The 18447-nt window shown below is 50.1% G+C and overlaps 1 protein-coding gene across 2 annotated transcripts in view, besides 1 other annotated feature; it reads left to right on the forward strand.

Annotated features, from left to right (window-relative positions):
- Nucleotides 1-4368, forward strand: part of UNC5B (unc-5 netrin receptor B) — a 90295-nt gene extending 85927 nt beyond the window's left edge. For both annotated transcript variants that reach the window (NM_170744.5, NM_001244889.2), the window contains one exon: nt 616-4368. In NM_170744.5, the coding sequence (NP_734465.2) occupies nt 616-781 (166 nt within the window). In that variant the 3' untranslated portion in view covers nt 782-4368. The remainder of the gene's footprint in view (nt 1-615) is intronic.
- Nucleotides 5444-5944: an enhancer, noted in NCBI's record as "H3K27ac hESC enhancer chr10:73063697-73064197 (GRCh37/hg19 assembly coordinates)". NCBI's record gives its function as "activates a minimal SCP1, AML or CMV promoter by ChIP-STARR-seq in primed H9 embryonic stem cells {active_cell/tissue: H9 hESC(primed)}" and the evidence as "EXISTENCE:reporter gene assay evidence [ECO:0000049][PMID:30033119]".

Here is an 18447-nt window from a genome sequence, read left to right on the forward strand (position 1 = left end):
AAAACTCCTTTGGAGAACCTCAAATGCTGGATAAGTGCTGGATAAATATAAGGCCAATGATAATAAATATTATACTTATTGAAAGATGTGTAATAAACCTGCATTGAGTCTCAAAAAATAAATAAATAAAATATGCTTTAGATAAGACATTTTACTAGAAATGAATAGGACTTACAAAGATGGCTAAGGCTTTATTCCTCCTATCAGGGGAGTTCATGGGAGCAGGAGGGAACACGGGTGGGAGGAATGACCACATGCTAGACGTGGTCATTCTCTCTTGGGGCCAGTGTCTTTCAATGATAATAATGATGATGATGAACAAGATGGTTACATGCTAGAGACAACGCTAGACCCTTACTTTATATGATCTTGGATCTTGCTGAGCGGTAACTGGCATTGTTCCCATTTTAGAGACAAGGAGACTGAGATTCTGAGCCATAGGTTCTGAATTGCCGAGAGCCACACAGACTGCAGCACAGTAGCTGCAATTCAGACCCAGGACAGTGGGACACCAAAGCTCACAGCCTTCCCACTTCCCCTTGTGCCCCTTCACCTCCAGGCTCCGGGGAGGGGCTAAGTGCTTGGGAACCTCAGTGCCCTCCTTCCCTCTGCCAGGTACCTGAATTACTTTGCCACCAAAGCGAGCCCCACGGGTGTGATCCTGGACCTCTGGGAAGCTCTGCAGCAGGACGATGGGGACCTCAACAGCCTGGCGAGTGCCTTGGAGGAGATGGGCAAGAGTGAGATGCTGGTGGCTGTGGCCACCGACGGGGACTGCTGAGCCTCCTGGGACAGCGGGCTGGCAGGGACTGGCAGGAGGCAGGTGCAGGGAGGCCTGGGGCAGCCTCCTGATGGGGATGTTTGGCCTCTGCTTCCTCCCAGTTCACAGCCAGAGTTGCCTCTCCTCCTCCTCTTCCCCAACCCCCAGACCATGACCAGCCTTAGAAAATCCATGTACTCTGTTGTTAGAGGGCCCAGAGTTCCTTCTCCACCCCCGCTCTCTCTCTCTTGGCCTGAGATCTCTGTGCAGGAACCAAGATGGGGCTGAAGCCTCTGGAGGCAGTTGGTTGGGGGCGGGCAGGCAGGAGGCCCTCCCTCCACCCCCCCACCCTCAGCCCGGCAACTTCTGGGTTCCATGGGTTTTAGTTCCGTTCTCGTTTTCTTCCTCCGTTATTGATTTCTCCTTTCTCCCTAAGCCCCCTTCTGCTTCCACGCCCTTTTCCTCTTTGAAGAGTCAAGTACAATTCAGACAAACTGCTTTCTCCTGTCCAAAAGCAAAAAGGCAAAGGAAAGAAAGAAAGCTTCAGACCGCTAGTAAGGCTCAAAGAAGAAGAAAAACACCAAAACCACAAGGGAAAAGAAAAACCCAGTTTCTTAGGAAACGCAAACGATTTATTATCCAGATTATTTGGATAAGTCCTTTTTAAGAAAAAAAAAGAAAATGAAAAACAACACAAAAAAAATAGAAAACTCTTTTCTTGAGTGTGGATGAGAATGGGCACGCTCACACTTCTGGCCAGGAGTGAATGTGCCTGTGTGTGTGTGTGTGTGTGTGTGTGTGTGTGTACATGTACGCGTGTGCATTGAGGAGAGAGAGACTGAACAGAGAGTACTTTGCTGCTAACGAATCCATCTTGGACTAAATTCTGACAAGGCCTCAGTTTCCCCAGTTGTGCAGGGAGTAGGTCAGACAGGGTTTTCACTGTCTAGATTTAGCTGGTTAGATTTTCCTCTAAAATCTTAAGCAGATGCTGAATCCATAAAGCCAAGGAGTGCTGAGGGCTGGAGTGGGTGGGCCCTCCCTCCCACAGCCCCAGGGAGATACATCTGGACTCCTGGGAATCTGGATTAAGAAAGTTGGGATGAAAGAGGAGGACTGCTCAGGCCAGTTGTGAGCCAGGGAGAATGTTCCAGTCTGGTTTTGGTCTGGTGGCTCCTAGAAAGGGATGTGGCCCAGAAGTGGGACTCAAACAGAGAGATGAAGTAGGGGAGGGGAGTCCTCCACGGGCATCTCTCTCCTGGCGGCTGGATAGCTTTACCCTAGGGTGGGGCCAGCCCTGACACCCTCATCCCCTCCTCAGCCCAGCAGCCTCTAGAGCAGCGTGGTGCTCTCTTGATGGCCAGGAATCCAGAATCTGCCCTTCCCCAACCTTGGTTTCTCCTTCTGTAAAGCAGAGTGATGGCTGAGAAGTCCTCTCTAGCTGCAGAAGCCTGAGCTTCCCGGTGTCAGTCAGCTCTGCAACGTGGGAGCCTTGGAGGCGGGTGGCCTGGCTGTGCTTCATATGCCCAGGAGTGGAGAAGGAGGCTGAGAAGCTGGTTTCCCAGCTCTGATCTCCACAGGCACCTCCTATAACCCTCCTCTCACCCACCCCGCTACGGTCTGAGAGATCTGAAATAACCTTTCCCAGTGGGCAGGGTTGCCAGGGTTGAGGGGACAGCACATACCACCCCCACCCAACCTGTTCGAGGGGCCCTGCATGGCACGGGATGAGTCCCTGCCCTGTGCAGCTGCCTGGCAGTGGCTGGGACAAGGATCTTGCAGCCAGCACAGAGGCCTCTTCAAAGGCCTCTCCCTCTTGGCACTCCAGGCAAGGCAGGTGCCCGCTTCCCCAACACCTCCAGGCAGTGACCCTAGGGCATGCCCCAGCAGGTCTCCGAGCAGCCACTGGGACCCGTCTCAGCACATCCTGGCCTTTGAAAGTCTGATATCCTGAGAGGAGGGCAGGTTTTAGGGCCGCAGTTCCAGCCAGCGTCCCCAGCCTGGCTTCCCTGCCATGGACTCAGTAGCTCGTGGGGCTTCTTACCACCCACCAGCCCCGCTGGGGTGCGGCCTGGCTGTGGGCAAAGGAGGACTTGCCTGGAGATTTGAGAGAAGATTCCTTCTACCAGGGCTGCTGAGGGGCCAGGCCTGCATCAGGGGCTAGGCTCTGGCTGGGCCCGGAGGCTGAGACTAAGGCTTTCGACCCTGGTGCCTCCATGTGGATGCTGCCTCAGACAAAGGCAGTGAGCCTTCCCTGCCAAAGTGCCCATCCCATGGGCTCGGCCTCACTGGTCACTGTTAGCCCATGAACACGTGTGGGCCTCGGTCACGTGGCTTTGAGGGCAGTCTGACCAGGCTAGACCACACGTGCCGTGACAGGGGGTGCCATTCCCCTCGCAGGCTCTAATGTGCCCACATGTAGCCTGGCAGTCCAAAGACCAAGAATCAACTTGCAAATCTGCCATTAAACTGCTGTGCGACTTCAGGCATATCACTGCCTTCTCTGGGCTTCAGTGTCCTTTTCATACCTAGAAGTCTGCGGTCTGAGGCTCTTTGGGTTCAGACACACTGTTCTAGGCTTCTGTAGGGGACCTTGTGATCTGCCGTGCCCCTCCTCCCTGTTCTTTTCTGTCCTCCCCACCCCACCCTCAGAAGCTGCTTGCTCTGCCCCCAGGACAGGAGCTTGACGGATGAAGTGCAGCCAGCCACCCAGGTGCCATTTCCAGTCTGACTTCCAGAAATGTGCACCATGTCCTAGAGCACAGACCCATTGGCTGGAGCCTCCTGGGAGGGTTCAAACCATCAGCTCTATGAGAAATGCCCAGAAAGGCTTTGCCGACTCCATCCGTCTGTGGAGGCTGCCTGCCTCCGGGGTGGGATGGGTGGTTTCTCCTCCAATTCAGACCCAAGAGGTAGCCCCCGAGGGCATGTACCTGGTGGGAAGCAGCTCAGGTACCCTTGGGGGTTGCAGGGCCCTTACGCAGGTATTTCTCTCTCTCTCCTCTCTGGGGTGCGTGTGTGCGTGCGCGTGTGCGTGCCTATGCTTTTCTCTGTGGGCACATCAGGATGCCCCTCGGAGAGCATGTGCACGTGTCCCCACCTGAGCGAGCGTGTGTGTGTGCTCCTCTGCGTCCCAGGTTTGGACGTCTAGGGTTTGGTGTGCCTGTCTTCTGCCCTCCCTGAGCCCACAGGGTCAGTCAATGTATCTTCTACGTGCCTCTCCCTCTGCCTTCTCTCACAGTGCCCCCGGCTCCAGAGCTCAGGGGTAGGGGTTCTCCTGAGGGTGCAGGGGATCCTTCTCATCTCCTGGACCCTCCAGGGCACTCTGGTCCCTATTCCCCAGCTCCTAGGCAGCTGAGCCGGGTCCCTTAGGGGAGGTGACCAGGAGCTTTGGTGCAGGGAGCTCTTGGTGGGGCAAAGGGCTGGACCCCTGCCAGGTCTGTGGACATGGTTATATGCCCGGGAGAGGGGGGTGCAGGGCCCCAGGGATGGCCCCCAATCCCACCTCTGTTTATTCTGTAAACTGCAACCTATAAATAACCTTTAGCATTCCTATTGTAACAAAATTAATTTTTATGAAATAAATTATATTTCCTAGTCTAATAAAATCCGGGTTGCATTTGGCTGTCTTCCTGTTGGTAATTGGGAATGACTCCGTTGCTCTTCTCAAAATTCCATGGAAGGTGGAGGTGTCACTGTCAGTTCAGAGCTATCTGACCCCCAGGAGATGAGCAAGCCCAACTGCCTCATTTTATAGAAGGGAAAACTGGTTCAGAGAGGGGTAAGGACTTCCCTAGAGTCACACAGCAAGGAGGAGCCTGTGGTCCATCTGGATCCCGGTCCTTGTGCATCCGGATCTGTTCAGGAGTTTGTCATGTGAGTCTGCCAGGGGCTAGGTAATGGTTGAGAGGGATGACACAGAGATGAAGCCCCAGCATCCCTGTCCGTCTCTGAGGAGTTCAGAAGGGGGTATCCCCAAGGGTGCTGAGGCTGTGAGGTCAGTTCAGAAACCTCACCTAGGATATATGACTATTGTGCAGGCTGAAAGGGAGTGATGGGCAGGTTGGGATCATATGACTCCGCCCCAGGCTGCCAGGCATGGTTGGGCAGGTAACGCACTGGGCAAGAGTACCATATCTAAAGGGGAGGGTGGCTCCATTCCCATGTATGTTGTAGATTTGTGTATTTGCTGAGATATTTCCAGCAGATGGCAGTAAAGGGTCTTGTGCTAATAAAAGCAGTACCTTGCTATTGAGGAGAGGGTGCCTTGTTCTCACGTGCACAGACGTGCTGTAAGAAGACTGGCAAGGGTCCCATTTCAGCTGGTCCCCTCCACCCTGTGGACCTCAAGTCTTTCCCTTTATGAGTTGAGTCTGGCCTGAGAATTTCCCAGCATGGATTGCCTGCTCCATGAGTAGATTCTGCGGTGTCTTAAGTTTGGGGTGAGAGCACCCTCTGGCCCCATCTTGGACAGTCATGTTGCCCAATCAGCATGTTAAAGGCTCTGAAAAGCCCTGCAGGAAGCAGCTGGTCTCATATTAACACAGACATCCCAGATAGATTTGGCCTTGGAACTTGTTTTCACAGCCTGACTATGTGGTGCCTATAGGCCCTGCCAGCCCTGACTTTCTGGGACCTGTGGCTCTGGGTTCTATGTGGCTGTATCACCTAGCTGTCCTCCTGGGAATGGGGAGCACCTGTGGGCTGGGTCTGAGACTGAAAGTTACCGAGACAAGAGAAAACCCATGTCTGTCCTCTGGCGGAGGAGGTGGGGCAGGCAGGGCACAATGGCACCCACCTGCATGCAGACCCCCAGGCTCAGATCATCATCTTTCCCTGGGGACCCAGAAGACCTGGAGCGGTCACATTCAGCATGACCTTCCTAGCAGAGATGATTTGGGGGTAAGGATTTATAAGGGAGAAGAAGAGGAAAGGGACAGCTTCATGAGGATGGGGGGTGAAGGGAGGGATACAGGAGGCGGGCAGCAGCCCAGCTAAGGGGTGGGCAGAGCCAGGTGTGGGGCAGCTATTTCATGCAAGTAGCCCCTACAAGCAGGCAGACAGTCTGGGGTCCCCCAGGAGTCAAGGCGACCCATTTAAACTTCATTCTCTACCTGCCACTGTCCCTTGGAATCTCAACTAAAACCAGGTTGGGCAGCAGGTGGGGTGCAAAGAGCTCTGGTGCTGAAGGTAGGGGTCCTGGGTCCCAGCCCTGATGCTGTGGAGTCACTATCCTTCCCTGAGCCTCAGTTTCTCCATCTGTGAAATGTGGGGCATAGATCTGCTACCCTGTGAGAGCCCTCTGGCTGGTGTAATTCTGTAATTGGCAGGGTGTGGGGTGGGGGGTCCTGGCTCTAGGCAGGAGTGTGACAGCTGCACCCCTTGAACCCTACTTTCTGTGCCAAGCCCAGGGGATGGTTGAGGGACAACCAGGAGAAGGCAGCAAAGGGGCTGGTTGCAGCCTGGGGCTGTGCGGGTGCCCAGTGAGGGGTCAGAGCCAGTGGCACAAGACCCTCCCAACTGGCCAGCCTGGCACAGCCAGCACACTGCAGGCCTGTCACTCATAAAAGTGTACCCCCTTCTCCACTAGGGACCCTAAGAAGAGGAAATCCACTCCAACTGCAGCTGACAGCTTGAGGTCAGACACAGTACTGCCCAGCAAATTTTCAAAACCTTTGTCCATTTTAATTGAAAATGACACATGCCTACCGTTTAAAAAAAAAAAATCAAGAGGTACAACAGAATCGGTGAAAAGTAGATTTCCCTCCTTCCTCTGTCTCTACTTCATTTTCCTCTCCACCCCTGTCCCTAGTCCCCACCCCACTCCCATAGAGGCAATTGCTACATTTCTTCTGTAGCCTCCTAGGAAGATCTGTGCATATACATACACGTATTTGTACATGTAAATATTTAAATATAATGGATTTGATCCAGGAGCCTCAAACCCTCGAGGTATAAACATGAAACAGTTTTATTTTTCCAATAACTGCTCGGAAATTCATTTTGTCAACGCCATCCCTCCCACTGGCTAGCAGGCTCCCTAAGGACATGTGGAGGTCCCTGGCTTTTCCCTTGCTTGCTATTACTAAGACGGTCTCATTTTGTTGCTAAGGCTCAACCAGGCCATCCTGGAACTCCATCGTCACCTTTAACTAAAGCTCTCTGAGAGCCCCAGTGCAGGCCACTGAAGGCTGGGGCTGCCTGCCTCCCCTCCCTCAACAGCGATGTCTCCCTCCTTCATCATTTGATAGGAAAAGCTGCCATCAAAACGCTTCTGTCTCCTGCACCAGCACAGGCATCTCACACCAAGACCCCAGCCTCCTTAGAACTGGGCCCTGGAGAATCCAGTGACTGTTTGTTATCAACAAGACACTGTTTCTTTTCTTCTTTTAATTTCTTTCTTTCTTTTTTTTTTTTTTTTTTTTTTGAGACGGAGTCTTGCTCTGTCACCCGGGCTGGAGTGCAGTGCCACGATCTCGGCTCACTGCAACCTCCACCTCCTGGGTTCAAGTGATTCTCCTGCCTCCGCCTCCTGAGTAGCTGGGATTACAAGTGCCCACCACCACGCCCAGTTAATTTTTGTATTTTTAGTAGATACTGGGTTTCACCATGTTGGTCAGGCTGGTCTTGAACTCCTGACCTCAGGTGATCCACTAGCCTCGGCTTCCCAAAGTGCTGGGATTACAGGTGTGAGCCACCACGCCCGGCCAACAAGACGCTATTTCTACCATAACCCCTGGCCTGCATAGAACATTCCAGGGACAGGCGGACCTGGAGATGAGGACTTCCCAAGTCCTGATTTTTCTTTTCTTTTTTTTTCCTTTTTTTTTTTTTTTGAGATGGATTCTCGCCCTGTCCTCCAGGCTGGAGTGCAATGGCACGATCTGGGTTCACTGCAACCTCCGCCTCCCAGGTTCAAACAATTTTCCTGCCTCAGCCTCCCGAGTAACTGGGATTGCAGGTGCCCGCCACCATGCCCAGCTAATTTTTGTATTTAAATGAGACAGGGTTTCACCATGTTGGTGAGGCTGGTCTCGAACTCCTGACCTCATGATCCGCCCGTCTCAGCCTCTCAAAGTGCTGGGATTACAGGCGTGAGCCACCGCGCCTGGCCCAAGTCCTGATTTTTCAAAACACAAATAGTGTTGGGGACAACCGTGCTCCAGTTCAACAACCCATTCAGCCAATTGCATTGGTCACCTCCGGGGTAAAGGACAAAAGTCGCACACAATGCCCTTGGGAGCCTACAGTCAAAAGAGGAGACACATCAACAGGGTGAGGGGCTTTGGAAACTCGGAGCGGCTCCTGACCAAGCCTGGGGGTCCAGAAAGCCTTTCTGGAAGAGACGGTATTTTCCAACACTGGGGTTGGTTTCCCTGAGTCATAGCTTCTCAGGTATGCATTTTGTGGGAGACACTTGTAGGCAAAAGTTTACAATAGCTTTCTTTCATGAAACTTCTTGGCTGGGTATGGTGGCTTACACCTGTAATCCCAGCACTTTGAGAAGCCAAGGCAGGAGGATTGCTTGAGGCCAGTAGTTGGAGACCAGCCTGGACAACACAGTGAGACTCCATCTCTACAAAAAAAAGTTTTAAAAAATTGCCAGGTGTCACACACCTGTAATCCCAGCTATTTGGGAAGCTGAGGCAAGAAGATCCCTTGAGTCCAGGAGTTGAAGGCTACAGTGAGCTATAAGGGGGTCACTGCACTCCAGCCTGGGTAACAGACTGAGACCCTCTCTCTAAAAAAAATAACAAAAACCCCTTCTTACTAAGAAAAGATGCTGATGTCCCTTTAGCAGGCTAGACATGAAGGCTGCTGTCTGCCAGAGGTGCTCAGATGGTCACAGGCCCTACTCGCGCCTGTTTATATGAATGTAAGTTGATGTCCTCTCAGTGACCCCAACCCAGGAGCTGGGGAATGTGGGGAGGGGCACAAGTGAGTTCCTGCTTTCCTGCAATCAGGAGGGGCTGGGCATCCAGGCCCACTGGGGGTGGCTCGAATCTGCACAGCCTAGTTTCTCAACCTAAAAGGCTTCCTCAACATGAGGGTCCTCAATACCTAGAAATTCAATCAATACAGCCCTAATCCCCTGATGGGCCTAGCACTGGGGGAAGGGGATACATCAGGCCTGGACTCAGCCCCCAAGCAGCTCACAGTAGAATACAAACTGAATTCACATAGCTGGTACCACACACCCTGAGACGGTACCAGCAGAGTGTGTGGGAGCAGGAAGATGGGAAGGGGTCCCTCTAGCTGCCCCACCTCGAGAGATGGTGATGTGCATGCAGGTGGAGATTGGGGCAGGGATGCAGGCAACAGCATTATCCTGGGTGCAGTGTGGAGAAGCCCAGCATGGGGAGAGAGGACAGGAGCAGCCTGGGGTCTGGGAAGGACAGAGGGGTGTGGCTCCCTATTGGTCACCTGCTCTAGGTTCACATAGATGTGCTTCTGGGCATTGGGGTCCGCTCACAGAAGCTTGTCCTCAGGAGTTTGTCCACAGACCAAGGGTCAAAAACACGAATGTGTCCAGGCCGCTCAGTCACGTGAATGAGAGAAGCCGCCAAACCAGCAATTCACTTCACAGAGAAATGTGCCTGCTCAGCTGTTTCTTGAAACATCAGGCTGTCTCAGCATATCATTCATTCCTCACTTCTCTTAGCAGCACGGGTCTCTACTTGAGTGAAATAGAGGATAGATGTCCTGTTCAGTGGCCTCTCACATTTGGCTGCAGTGCTATAGGGAAGCGATAGGGAGAAGTGGGGACTACAGCCAAATGGTGACCACAGAGTGCACTGGAAGGGGTAGGCCCTCACTACTCAAATCTGTGAGTGCCCAGGACTGCTCCAACCTCCTGCTTTTAGAAACCAGAAACCAGGATTCAGAAACGTATGTGAAATCATTCTATTTGTAACTGTTAGCTCAAATTGTTTGTAAACTGCAGGCCAAACAAGATCCATCCAGTTTGTGATCTGCTGGGCAATGGGAAGCTATGGGAAGGTTTTGAAGCAGCGGAGGGTCAGGCTTAGGTTCAGGGGTTTGCTAGCTGGGACACAGTCCTGAGCCCCTGGCCCTCTCTAGAGATCACCAGGTGCCCCTGCCCAGGTGTTGCTTTCCCTGGGTTGCATCAGGGGACCATGATGCCCACACCAGCTACCTCCCTCCTGCATTCCTCTGTGGGATGGTGGGTGAGGCTGGTCCTCTCCCCACGAGCCTCTTCTATGCCTGATGAAATTCAGGGCAGGGCTTGGCTACCAGGCCCTCAGGTTGCAGCAATTCTCCTGCTACCAGGTACCTAGGGACAGAGGCCCAGCACCCACCTCAGTAAATACTGCAATTACCCAAAGGGGGTACACCAGGCAGAGGCTATGGCCAAGGACTGCAGGGGTTCATTGGGGTCTCTTTCATAGGCTTCTAGGATGGCAGAGGTGGGGGTCCTTGGCTGCTATCTAATCCATCCTCATCTGATTCCAGAAGTCCCTCCACAGTGACTCAGACAAGGGCTTCCCCAGTTTCTCCTTGAATACTTCCAGAGATGAGGAACTCTCTACTTCTTAATTGTAATAATAGCTGGCATTTTAATAAATGACTACTTATTTTCACTGTAGGGGCTGATTTTACCCACAGGAATCAATGGGAGTTAAGCCTAAGCCTTCCACTCCATGCCACCTTTTCAAATATTTGAAAACAGCTTTCTTGGCCCACACTGCCTCTTCTCCTCCTCCTAAGTGCTCCCAGTCTCTCGCGTGGCTGGGCTCAGCATCCATGTGCCCATTGGTGCTCCCTCTGGGTTCTGGTGGCTTGCCTCCCTTTCCTCAATTCCCACAGGGTAGTTATGAAGCTAACATTATCCATAGTTCCAGCTCAGCTGCAGGTTTAAGGGAACAAGCTTTGGGGTCAGCCTGACCTTGGTTTATGGCCAGACTCTACCATCTGCTCTCCATGTGACCTTGAGCCAATTGCCTAAACTCCTGGAACCTCAGATTTTCCAGCAATGAGGATGACAAGCCCTTCCTTATAGACTTCCTGTAAGGACTAAATGAGGTAATATGTGTAAATATTAAGAGAGTAATCAGTATGAATCTCTTTCCATTTTGTCATCATCGGGATCAATAGCAGTTGCAGGTGTGTCACTGGATGATCACTATCACCTCTCTCCCATTAGATGAAGATAAGAGGGAGGAATATGCTCCTTGCATTTGCAGACACCTGAGATTACAAAGCACCATGTGCCCCACATTTTCTCTTTTTATGTAGCTAGGAGAAGGCCAGTGAGCCACGTGGCTAGAGCACTGACTCCCAGTCCAGTGCTCCCACTACAGCCCCACACAGTGGGAAACACAAGCCAGCTGCAGCCCTTCCTCCACAATCTGTACTGCTCCTGACATTGACGTACCTTTGTGGCATTCCCCAAGCACCTTCATACCAATGCTCTCCTTGATTACCAGAATTAATCCCACTGCCACACCACTGGAGATAGTCAGGACAGGGACCCTCCTCTTGGCCTCACAGATGGAAAAGCACAGGACAATTAGTACCTGGCCCACCTGGGTCAGAACCAGAACTCCAGAGCATCTGGGCTAGCGTAGATGATTAGCCAGGTTCAATCTCAGCTCAATACAATCCTGCTTCCACTAAACAAACGTTTACAGTTCTCATGTTGGTGGAAGGAAGACAGACAATTTAAAAACGTGATATGTAAAGATACACAAAAAATAAAGCCAGGTTATGAGTGAGGATAGCTGGGGAAGTCAGGGGAAGATCACTTCAGCACTACCAAAACAGATAGGGGAACTGAGAAACCAGTATCTTAGAGAGAAGGGAAGCTCAGAGAAATTTGATATTCTGTCCTTCTTCCCCCACCCCAGCCCCTCTGCCCAAGCCACTTGTTGATTTCTAACCAGTGAGTGCCAAACTGAAAGCAGCAGCTAAGGGGCTGAGAAGCCAGGCAGAGCTTTTGACAGACCCACCGCTACAGGGGGCAACACTGGGAGTGAAGGGGGAGCCCTGGCCAACAACCCAGCCCTTGGCCTGGGGTCTCGGAATGGCCACAGCCTAGGATAAGAGCAAACAGGAAGCAGATCAGGCCTTAAAAAGACCGAAATCCAGCCGTTCTTAATCCCCACTCCAATCCCTACCAGAAGCTAAAGGTAATTCTCCTTGTGGGAAGATCAGCACGCCTCTAAGTTTTCATTTACAATGTCTAACATTCAGTAAAAAATTACTGGACATCCCAATAGACAGGACCAAGAAAAATAACAGATAATAGAAACTACACATACATACATCTGAGTGAGCCCTGATTCTGGTCATCTTTTTATTCCCTGAGTCCAGACACCTAGTGTACTCAGGACCCAGTTCTCCCCACCTGACCAGAGAAAGAGAGAGAGAGATTCCAGATCTTTGACAACAGGGACTATATCCCAAGCCTGACACTGGACAGAAGATCCTTGTTCTCACAGACGCTAAGTCCACTTTCACATGAAGAATAAATCCTTACCACACAGAGACTAGAGCCCTAGACTTGAATCTCACCCCCACCGGATATCTGGTTGACCCTGGAAGTCTAGACCCCTGATTGACTCTAAAGTCTAAGAACTGGCAGGTTCAGACTCCCATGAGGACAGAGAATGAGTCCTCCTACCCACCTCACTTGAGACATGAAATCCTCACACATACCTGAACCAAGTCCTAGACATACAGAGTCCAGAGCCCCAGACAAGAGCATTACTTCCACCCAAAATCTGGCTGATCTGAGACCATATGTATATGGGGCTGGGGACAAGGTGGAGAAAGAGTCTAGGGTCCAGACAGCTGGTCAACCTTTGGGTGAAAGAGAGGTCACCCACCAGCCTCCTGGAACTCTTGCCCTTTGGGCACTGCAGCAGGATCGGATCCCATGCTGTGTGGCCACAGGTCCAGTGGGACAATATGAAAGCAGCCACCACGTGGCATCTGAAAATTGATGTGACTGGGACCAGGAAGGATCTGAATTCCCCAGGCTGGTTAGAGTCCCGGATGCCGACCTCCTTCCCAGTGCCCCTCAAACTGTGTTTCTCTCTCCAGGGAAGTGGGAGGGCGGCAGGGCCAGCACCAGAGCATCCTCTCCTGGCCTGACTTTACCTTCAAAGGAACAGTAAGACTCATAGCTAGCTTCTTAATGGAAGCCATGGAATGCAAAAGGCAGTGAAATGATCTTTAAAGTGCCAAAAGAAAATAAGCATCAATCTAGAATTCCAGACCTGGTGAAAATAGGGCAAAGGGCATTTCCAGGCCAACAAAAATTGAGAAACTTCATTGCTAAAAGACTGACATTAGAAAGAAATACTAATGGGAGCCTTTTGCGCTTACAGAAATGACTCCAGGAAGAAGCAAATGCAGGAAGGAATGAGAAACAATGAGAATGGGTAAATATGTGAGTAAATAGAAATTAATATGAACTGTAAAAAAGAAAAAAAGTAATATCTTATGAGTTTTAAAATAATGTAAATTAAATTATGTTAAAATGGTAACACAAAAGTTGGGTCAGGGTAAGTGTAATTAAGGTATTCTAAGGTACCTGCAACACCTGGGAAAGTGGGAAATGTACTAATTGATATTAGAGTCTAGTAAATCATGTATGGATAAATATAAGCTCTAGAGAATATTTAACTTATAGAAGTGAGAAAGAAATAGTTTTTTAAATTGATCAATCCAAAAAGAGACAAGAAAGGAGGGGAAAAAAGGAACATAGACAAGGTGTGCTGTTGGGAAAAAAGTAGTAGCATTAAACTCAAATATATCTGTCTACCAGTAATTATATTAAATATAAATGGACAAAAGACTTCAAGTTAAAGGTAAAGATAGTTAGAGTGGATTTTTTCTTAAGTATATGCCCCATTTACCGTAAACATGCCCTACATATAAGGATATCTGATAAAATTATAAGAATGAAGAAAGATATATCATAGAAACACTATTCAAAATGAAGCTAGTGTAATTCCACTAAAATTAGGAAAATACACATTAAGGCAAAAACCAAAAACAAAACACACATTACAAGAAAAGAAAGCCATGGACCAAACTATCTCATGAACAAAGATACAAAAATCCCAAGCAAAATACTAACAGGTAGAATTAAGCAACACATTGTTTAAATTATTTATTTGTTTGTTTATTTATTTATTTATTTATTTATTTATTTTGTAGAAACAAAATCTTACCATGCTGCCAGGGTAGTCTTAAACTCCTGGCCTCAAGCAATCCTCTTTTTCCAGTCTCCCAAAGCACTGGGATTACAGGCATGAGTCACTGCACCTGGCCAGAGTAATATTTTTAAAAAGCGATACATCATAATCAAGCTGGGTTTATTCCAGAAATGCAAGGCTGATTTAACATTTGAAAATCAATTAATGTAAATTTACCACATTAATAGAATAAAGACAAAGATCATATGACCATCATAGCAGATTATATTTTCCAACTATCACTGCAATAATATGTACCACTTGACATGCTTTTCTTCCAACTTGACCTTGGCACTCTTCCATCAAGAGTTGAAGTCTATGTCCCCTCCCCCTGGATCCTGGGTGGACCTCAGTGACTCCTTGACCAACAGAGTACAGCAGAAGTGGCCATGCATAACTCCCAAGGCTGGATCCTAAAAACACCCTGTATTTCCTTAAGCCTAAGAAGGCACAGAAAGAGGCCACTTGAAGGAGCTGTGGACAGTAATCCCAGTGGAAGCCCAGCCAACAACCAGCATCAACTGCCAGACACAAGAAAGGGAGGACACTTTCAGATGATTCCAACTCCCAACCTTTGGGTCTTCCAGCCGAGGCCACAGCCATGGGGGGCGAGTGGGGGCGCAGCACAGAGACAAGGCATGCTCATCCTGCCCTGTCCATTTCCCAACCCACAGAATCTGTGCCATAACAAATTTTTTTTGGCACCACTACATTTGGGGGTCGTTTGTTTTGTACACATAGTAATCAGAGGAGAGCAGCTTCTGGGGCTTTAAGAGCGTTCACTTTCTTGTTCCGGGTGCTGGTGGAACAGACGTCACCATTCTGTGATCATTCATGAACTCTACACTTACGATCTGCACACTAGTCTCTATGTAGGTGGTACTTCCATAAAAAGAACCCAAACAAGGATACCAAAGAAAAACGGGGAGGGGACGTGGAGCAATTTCCCTGTTGTAACTGTGGAGCAAGAGATAGATTGGCGCTGACAAATGGGAACATCCCTAACTGGTGGACTCTGTTTTCTCCGTAAAGACCATCTCCGGGAGGGATGTGTTCAGGGCCCTGGGCCAAGTGGAGGAGGAAGATGGCAACAGTTCTTACAGCAAGCAGGAGCCAAGACACGTGGTAGAACTGCAGGGAATCCTCAGGCCCATCTGGCGTTGATAACTGTGAGTTCCAAGCAGACTCGCTGGTCTGCTGGGGACTCTCCAGTGAGGATCATTTGTCAGCTGTAGCTGGGCTCCCCCAGGGTGGGCCCACGCTGCCACGGGGAGATGAGGGACATGGGAGTTCAGGGTACTGCGAAGATGTTACTGACATGGTGAACCTTGGGATCTAAGCTGCCTGAAGATAGAAGGAAGGACATGCTTGATGGATGAAGGGAAGACAGAGGAGTCAGTGCTGGCATCTCCCGGAAGTCCAGAACGTTCCTGGAGGGAGCCACTGACCAGCACACAGCAAGGAGAGGTGGCTAGAATCAGAAAGGGGACTGGAATTCGAATCAGTGATGTGGGCCATCCGTGGTGGCTCACGCCTGTAATCCCAGCATCTTGGGGGGCTAAGGTGGGAGGATCACTTGAAGCCAAGAGTTTGAGACCAGCCTGGGCAACATAGTGAGACCCCCATTTCTGAATAAAATTTTTTTTAATTAGCCGGGAGTGGTGGCCTGCACCTGTAGTTCCAGCTACTCGGGGAGGCTGAGACGGGAGGATTACTTGAGCTCAGGAGCTGGACGCTGCTGTGAGCTACAATCATGCCACTGCACTCCAGCCTGGGTGACAGAGCAATACCCTGGCTCTTAAAAAATAAATTAGTGATGTGGAAGCAGAGAAGTTATGAGTCCGTAGTTATGGCTTTATCACCATAACTACTAACCCTATCTCTCAGAATCCTCGTGCCTCGCACGGGTATCCAGTAACCCTGGAAAGAAAGACCGTAGTGAGTGAGTGACCCCAATCTGTGAGCATTGCACTGATAGAGAAGTTCCACGAGATGGCAGCATCGGCCCATGAGCCTTATGCCTGGCGCTCTCCGCTCCGCCCGTCGCACCGCCCCCCCGCCCCAACGCCCCGCACCCTCCCCCAAAAGGAGCCTGTGAAAAATATTCTGACTCTTCCTGATTGTTATGTCGCCTGCAGGTCAACAGACCCTGGGGAAGAGAAGAAGAGGAGAGCCTGTAGGGCTCCAGTCTTAAAGATGAGGGCTTGTGTGACCCCCACTCCCAACCACTTTTCATGGAGTCTCCTGGGTGGGTTCTGGAGGCAGAAAGGCAACCATGTGAATTTTGGCTCTGCCGCTGACTAGCTGTGTGACTCTGAATGAGGTACTAACCTCTTTGTGCCCCAGTTTCCGCATAAGCTAAACGGGGCTGACAATTGCACCGACCTCATGGTGTGTGGTGGATTCTACGGGATGGGGGCGGCCGTCAGGGGGCTGGAGGCAGAGCGGGAGCTGTGTCCTCTGGCTCACCGTCTTTAACAGCAATCCATACACCTACTCTGTGCCTCCTAGAAGGCTGTTAGGTTGTTATTCTCACCCCCTTTACAGATGAGAAAACTGAGGCTTGACTTCGTAGGGCCACATAAAAAGCATCCTAGCCCAGGTCTGTCTGGCTCCAGGGCCCAGTTCTGACCACCAAGCCAAGAGGCTTCCCTATCGGCCACCCTGGCCAGCCTTGGCATCTCATCCTCCAGTTCCCTGGGCCTGGAGCTGGTCCTCTTGTGATACTGGGATGGCTTCTGCCAGCACTCAGAACCTTTCAGGGCATTTCCAAACCAAGGAGAAACAAGGTGCTTTTTCTTTTCTTTTTCTTTTTCTTTCTATCTTTTTTTTTTTTTTTTTTGAGACAGAGTCTCGCTCTTGTTGCCCAGGCTGGAGTGCAGTAGCGCAATCTCGGCTCACTGCACCCTCCGCCTTCCTGGGTTCAAGCAATTCTCCTGCATCAGCACCCCGAGTAGCTGGGATTACAGGTGCCCACCACCATGCTCAGCTATTTTTTTTTTTTTTGTAGTTTTAGTAGAGATGGGGTTTCACCATGTTGGCCATACTGATCTCAAACTCCTGACCTCGTGATCTGCCCGCCTTGGCCTCCCAAAATAATCGCGCTTGGGATTACAGGCGCAAGCCACTGCGCCCGGCCAGGGTGCTTTTTCAAAGGATTAAGGATTGTAAAATGTCGATCCAGTGGAAAGTGCTTTGGCCATTTGGAGTTTTCCTTCCTTCTCTTCTCCTTCTTATCCTCCTCCTCTTTTTCTCCTCATGTATAAGAATAAAGATGCCTAATGGATGTAGTACTTTACCATTTACAAATATTTTCCCTGACCTTCTCCAACAATACTTGAGCACAGATGGTTGTTGTCATTGAATCCACTCGGTTGCAATGCCTCATATGCCCCAGCCAGATACAGAGTTGGGAGCTATCAAGGCAGAAAAGCATGGCCACTGCATTCCTAGACACAGATGGGGTTCAGGACACACTACCGCAAACTTATGACTGTAGGAGACCAGACCAGAATAGGCCACCCAAAATATGGCTCCTTGGCATAAGAATAATTCTGAGCTGGTTATTTTGAGAAACTGCAGACACAGGAGAAGCTCTAAGAACAAAAGGAAAACTTACCCTTTGAAAGAGAAACTTACATCTTTAAAAGAAATCATACATCAGGGTGTCTCCCTGTCTGCACCAGGAAGAGAAAGATGTCTCTAATCACTAGAAACACCAATGGAGAAGGCATGGACTTCAGTCTGCAAGACCAACCTTCCCCTTGTTGACTAAGCTTTTCCTGCCCACATCCCCACAGCTGGGCCTTCTTTCTTTGTTTCAGTTGAAGATGGCATTTAAGCCTGAACTCAAAGCCGTGGTTTTTGGAGATTTACTTATTTCTCTGAGTATTTCCCAAGTGCACATGACATATACACATTACTAAACTTCTGTTTGTTTTTCTCTTCTCAATCTCAAGATTGTTTCAGGTGTCTACCCTACCTCATGAAGGCTAGAAAAAATTACCTTTCCGCTCCTATAGCACTTATCAAAAGCAATGTTCAGGATAACTTCAGGCAAGGGACAGGAACCCAGCCAATTTCTGAGGCCTGCCCACCCCAGCCTCCCCATCCCTCCCCTCCCTGGAGTCCGCTGCTATGAAGTAGGTATTGTGAAAACACTTTTATTCTGTTTCCTCTCTACTTCCCTTTCTTGACCCAATCTCCCTCTTTTCTGATCATCTGTCAGGGTAAATGTTTTTATTACCTGGTCACTGAAGGGCCTGCTGGTCAGGGGCCAGGGCAGACTCAGAGCTCAGGGCTCTGGACCCCCATTCTCCTGTTCCTTCCCTGATCCCCCAAAGCCTCAAACATTCCCTGGGAAGCTGTGTGCCCAACAGTACCTGACTCATCTTGTCCCCAAGCTAGACATTACCACCGCCATCCGCCTAGATCCTGGAGGAGAAGACAAGCCCACATTGT

This window comes from Homo sapiens, chromosome 10 (genome assembly GCF_000001405.40).
Source record: "Homo sapiens chromosome 10, GRCh38.p14 Primary Assembly".
In the NCBI taxonomy this organism is placed as follows: Eukaryota; Metazoa; Chordata; class Mammalia; order Primates; family Hominidae; genus Homo; species Homo sapiens.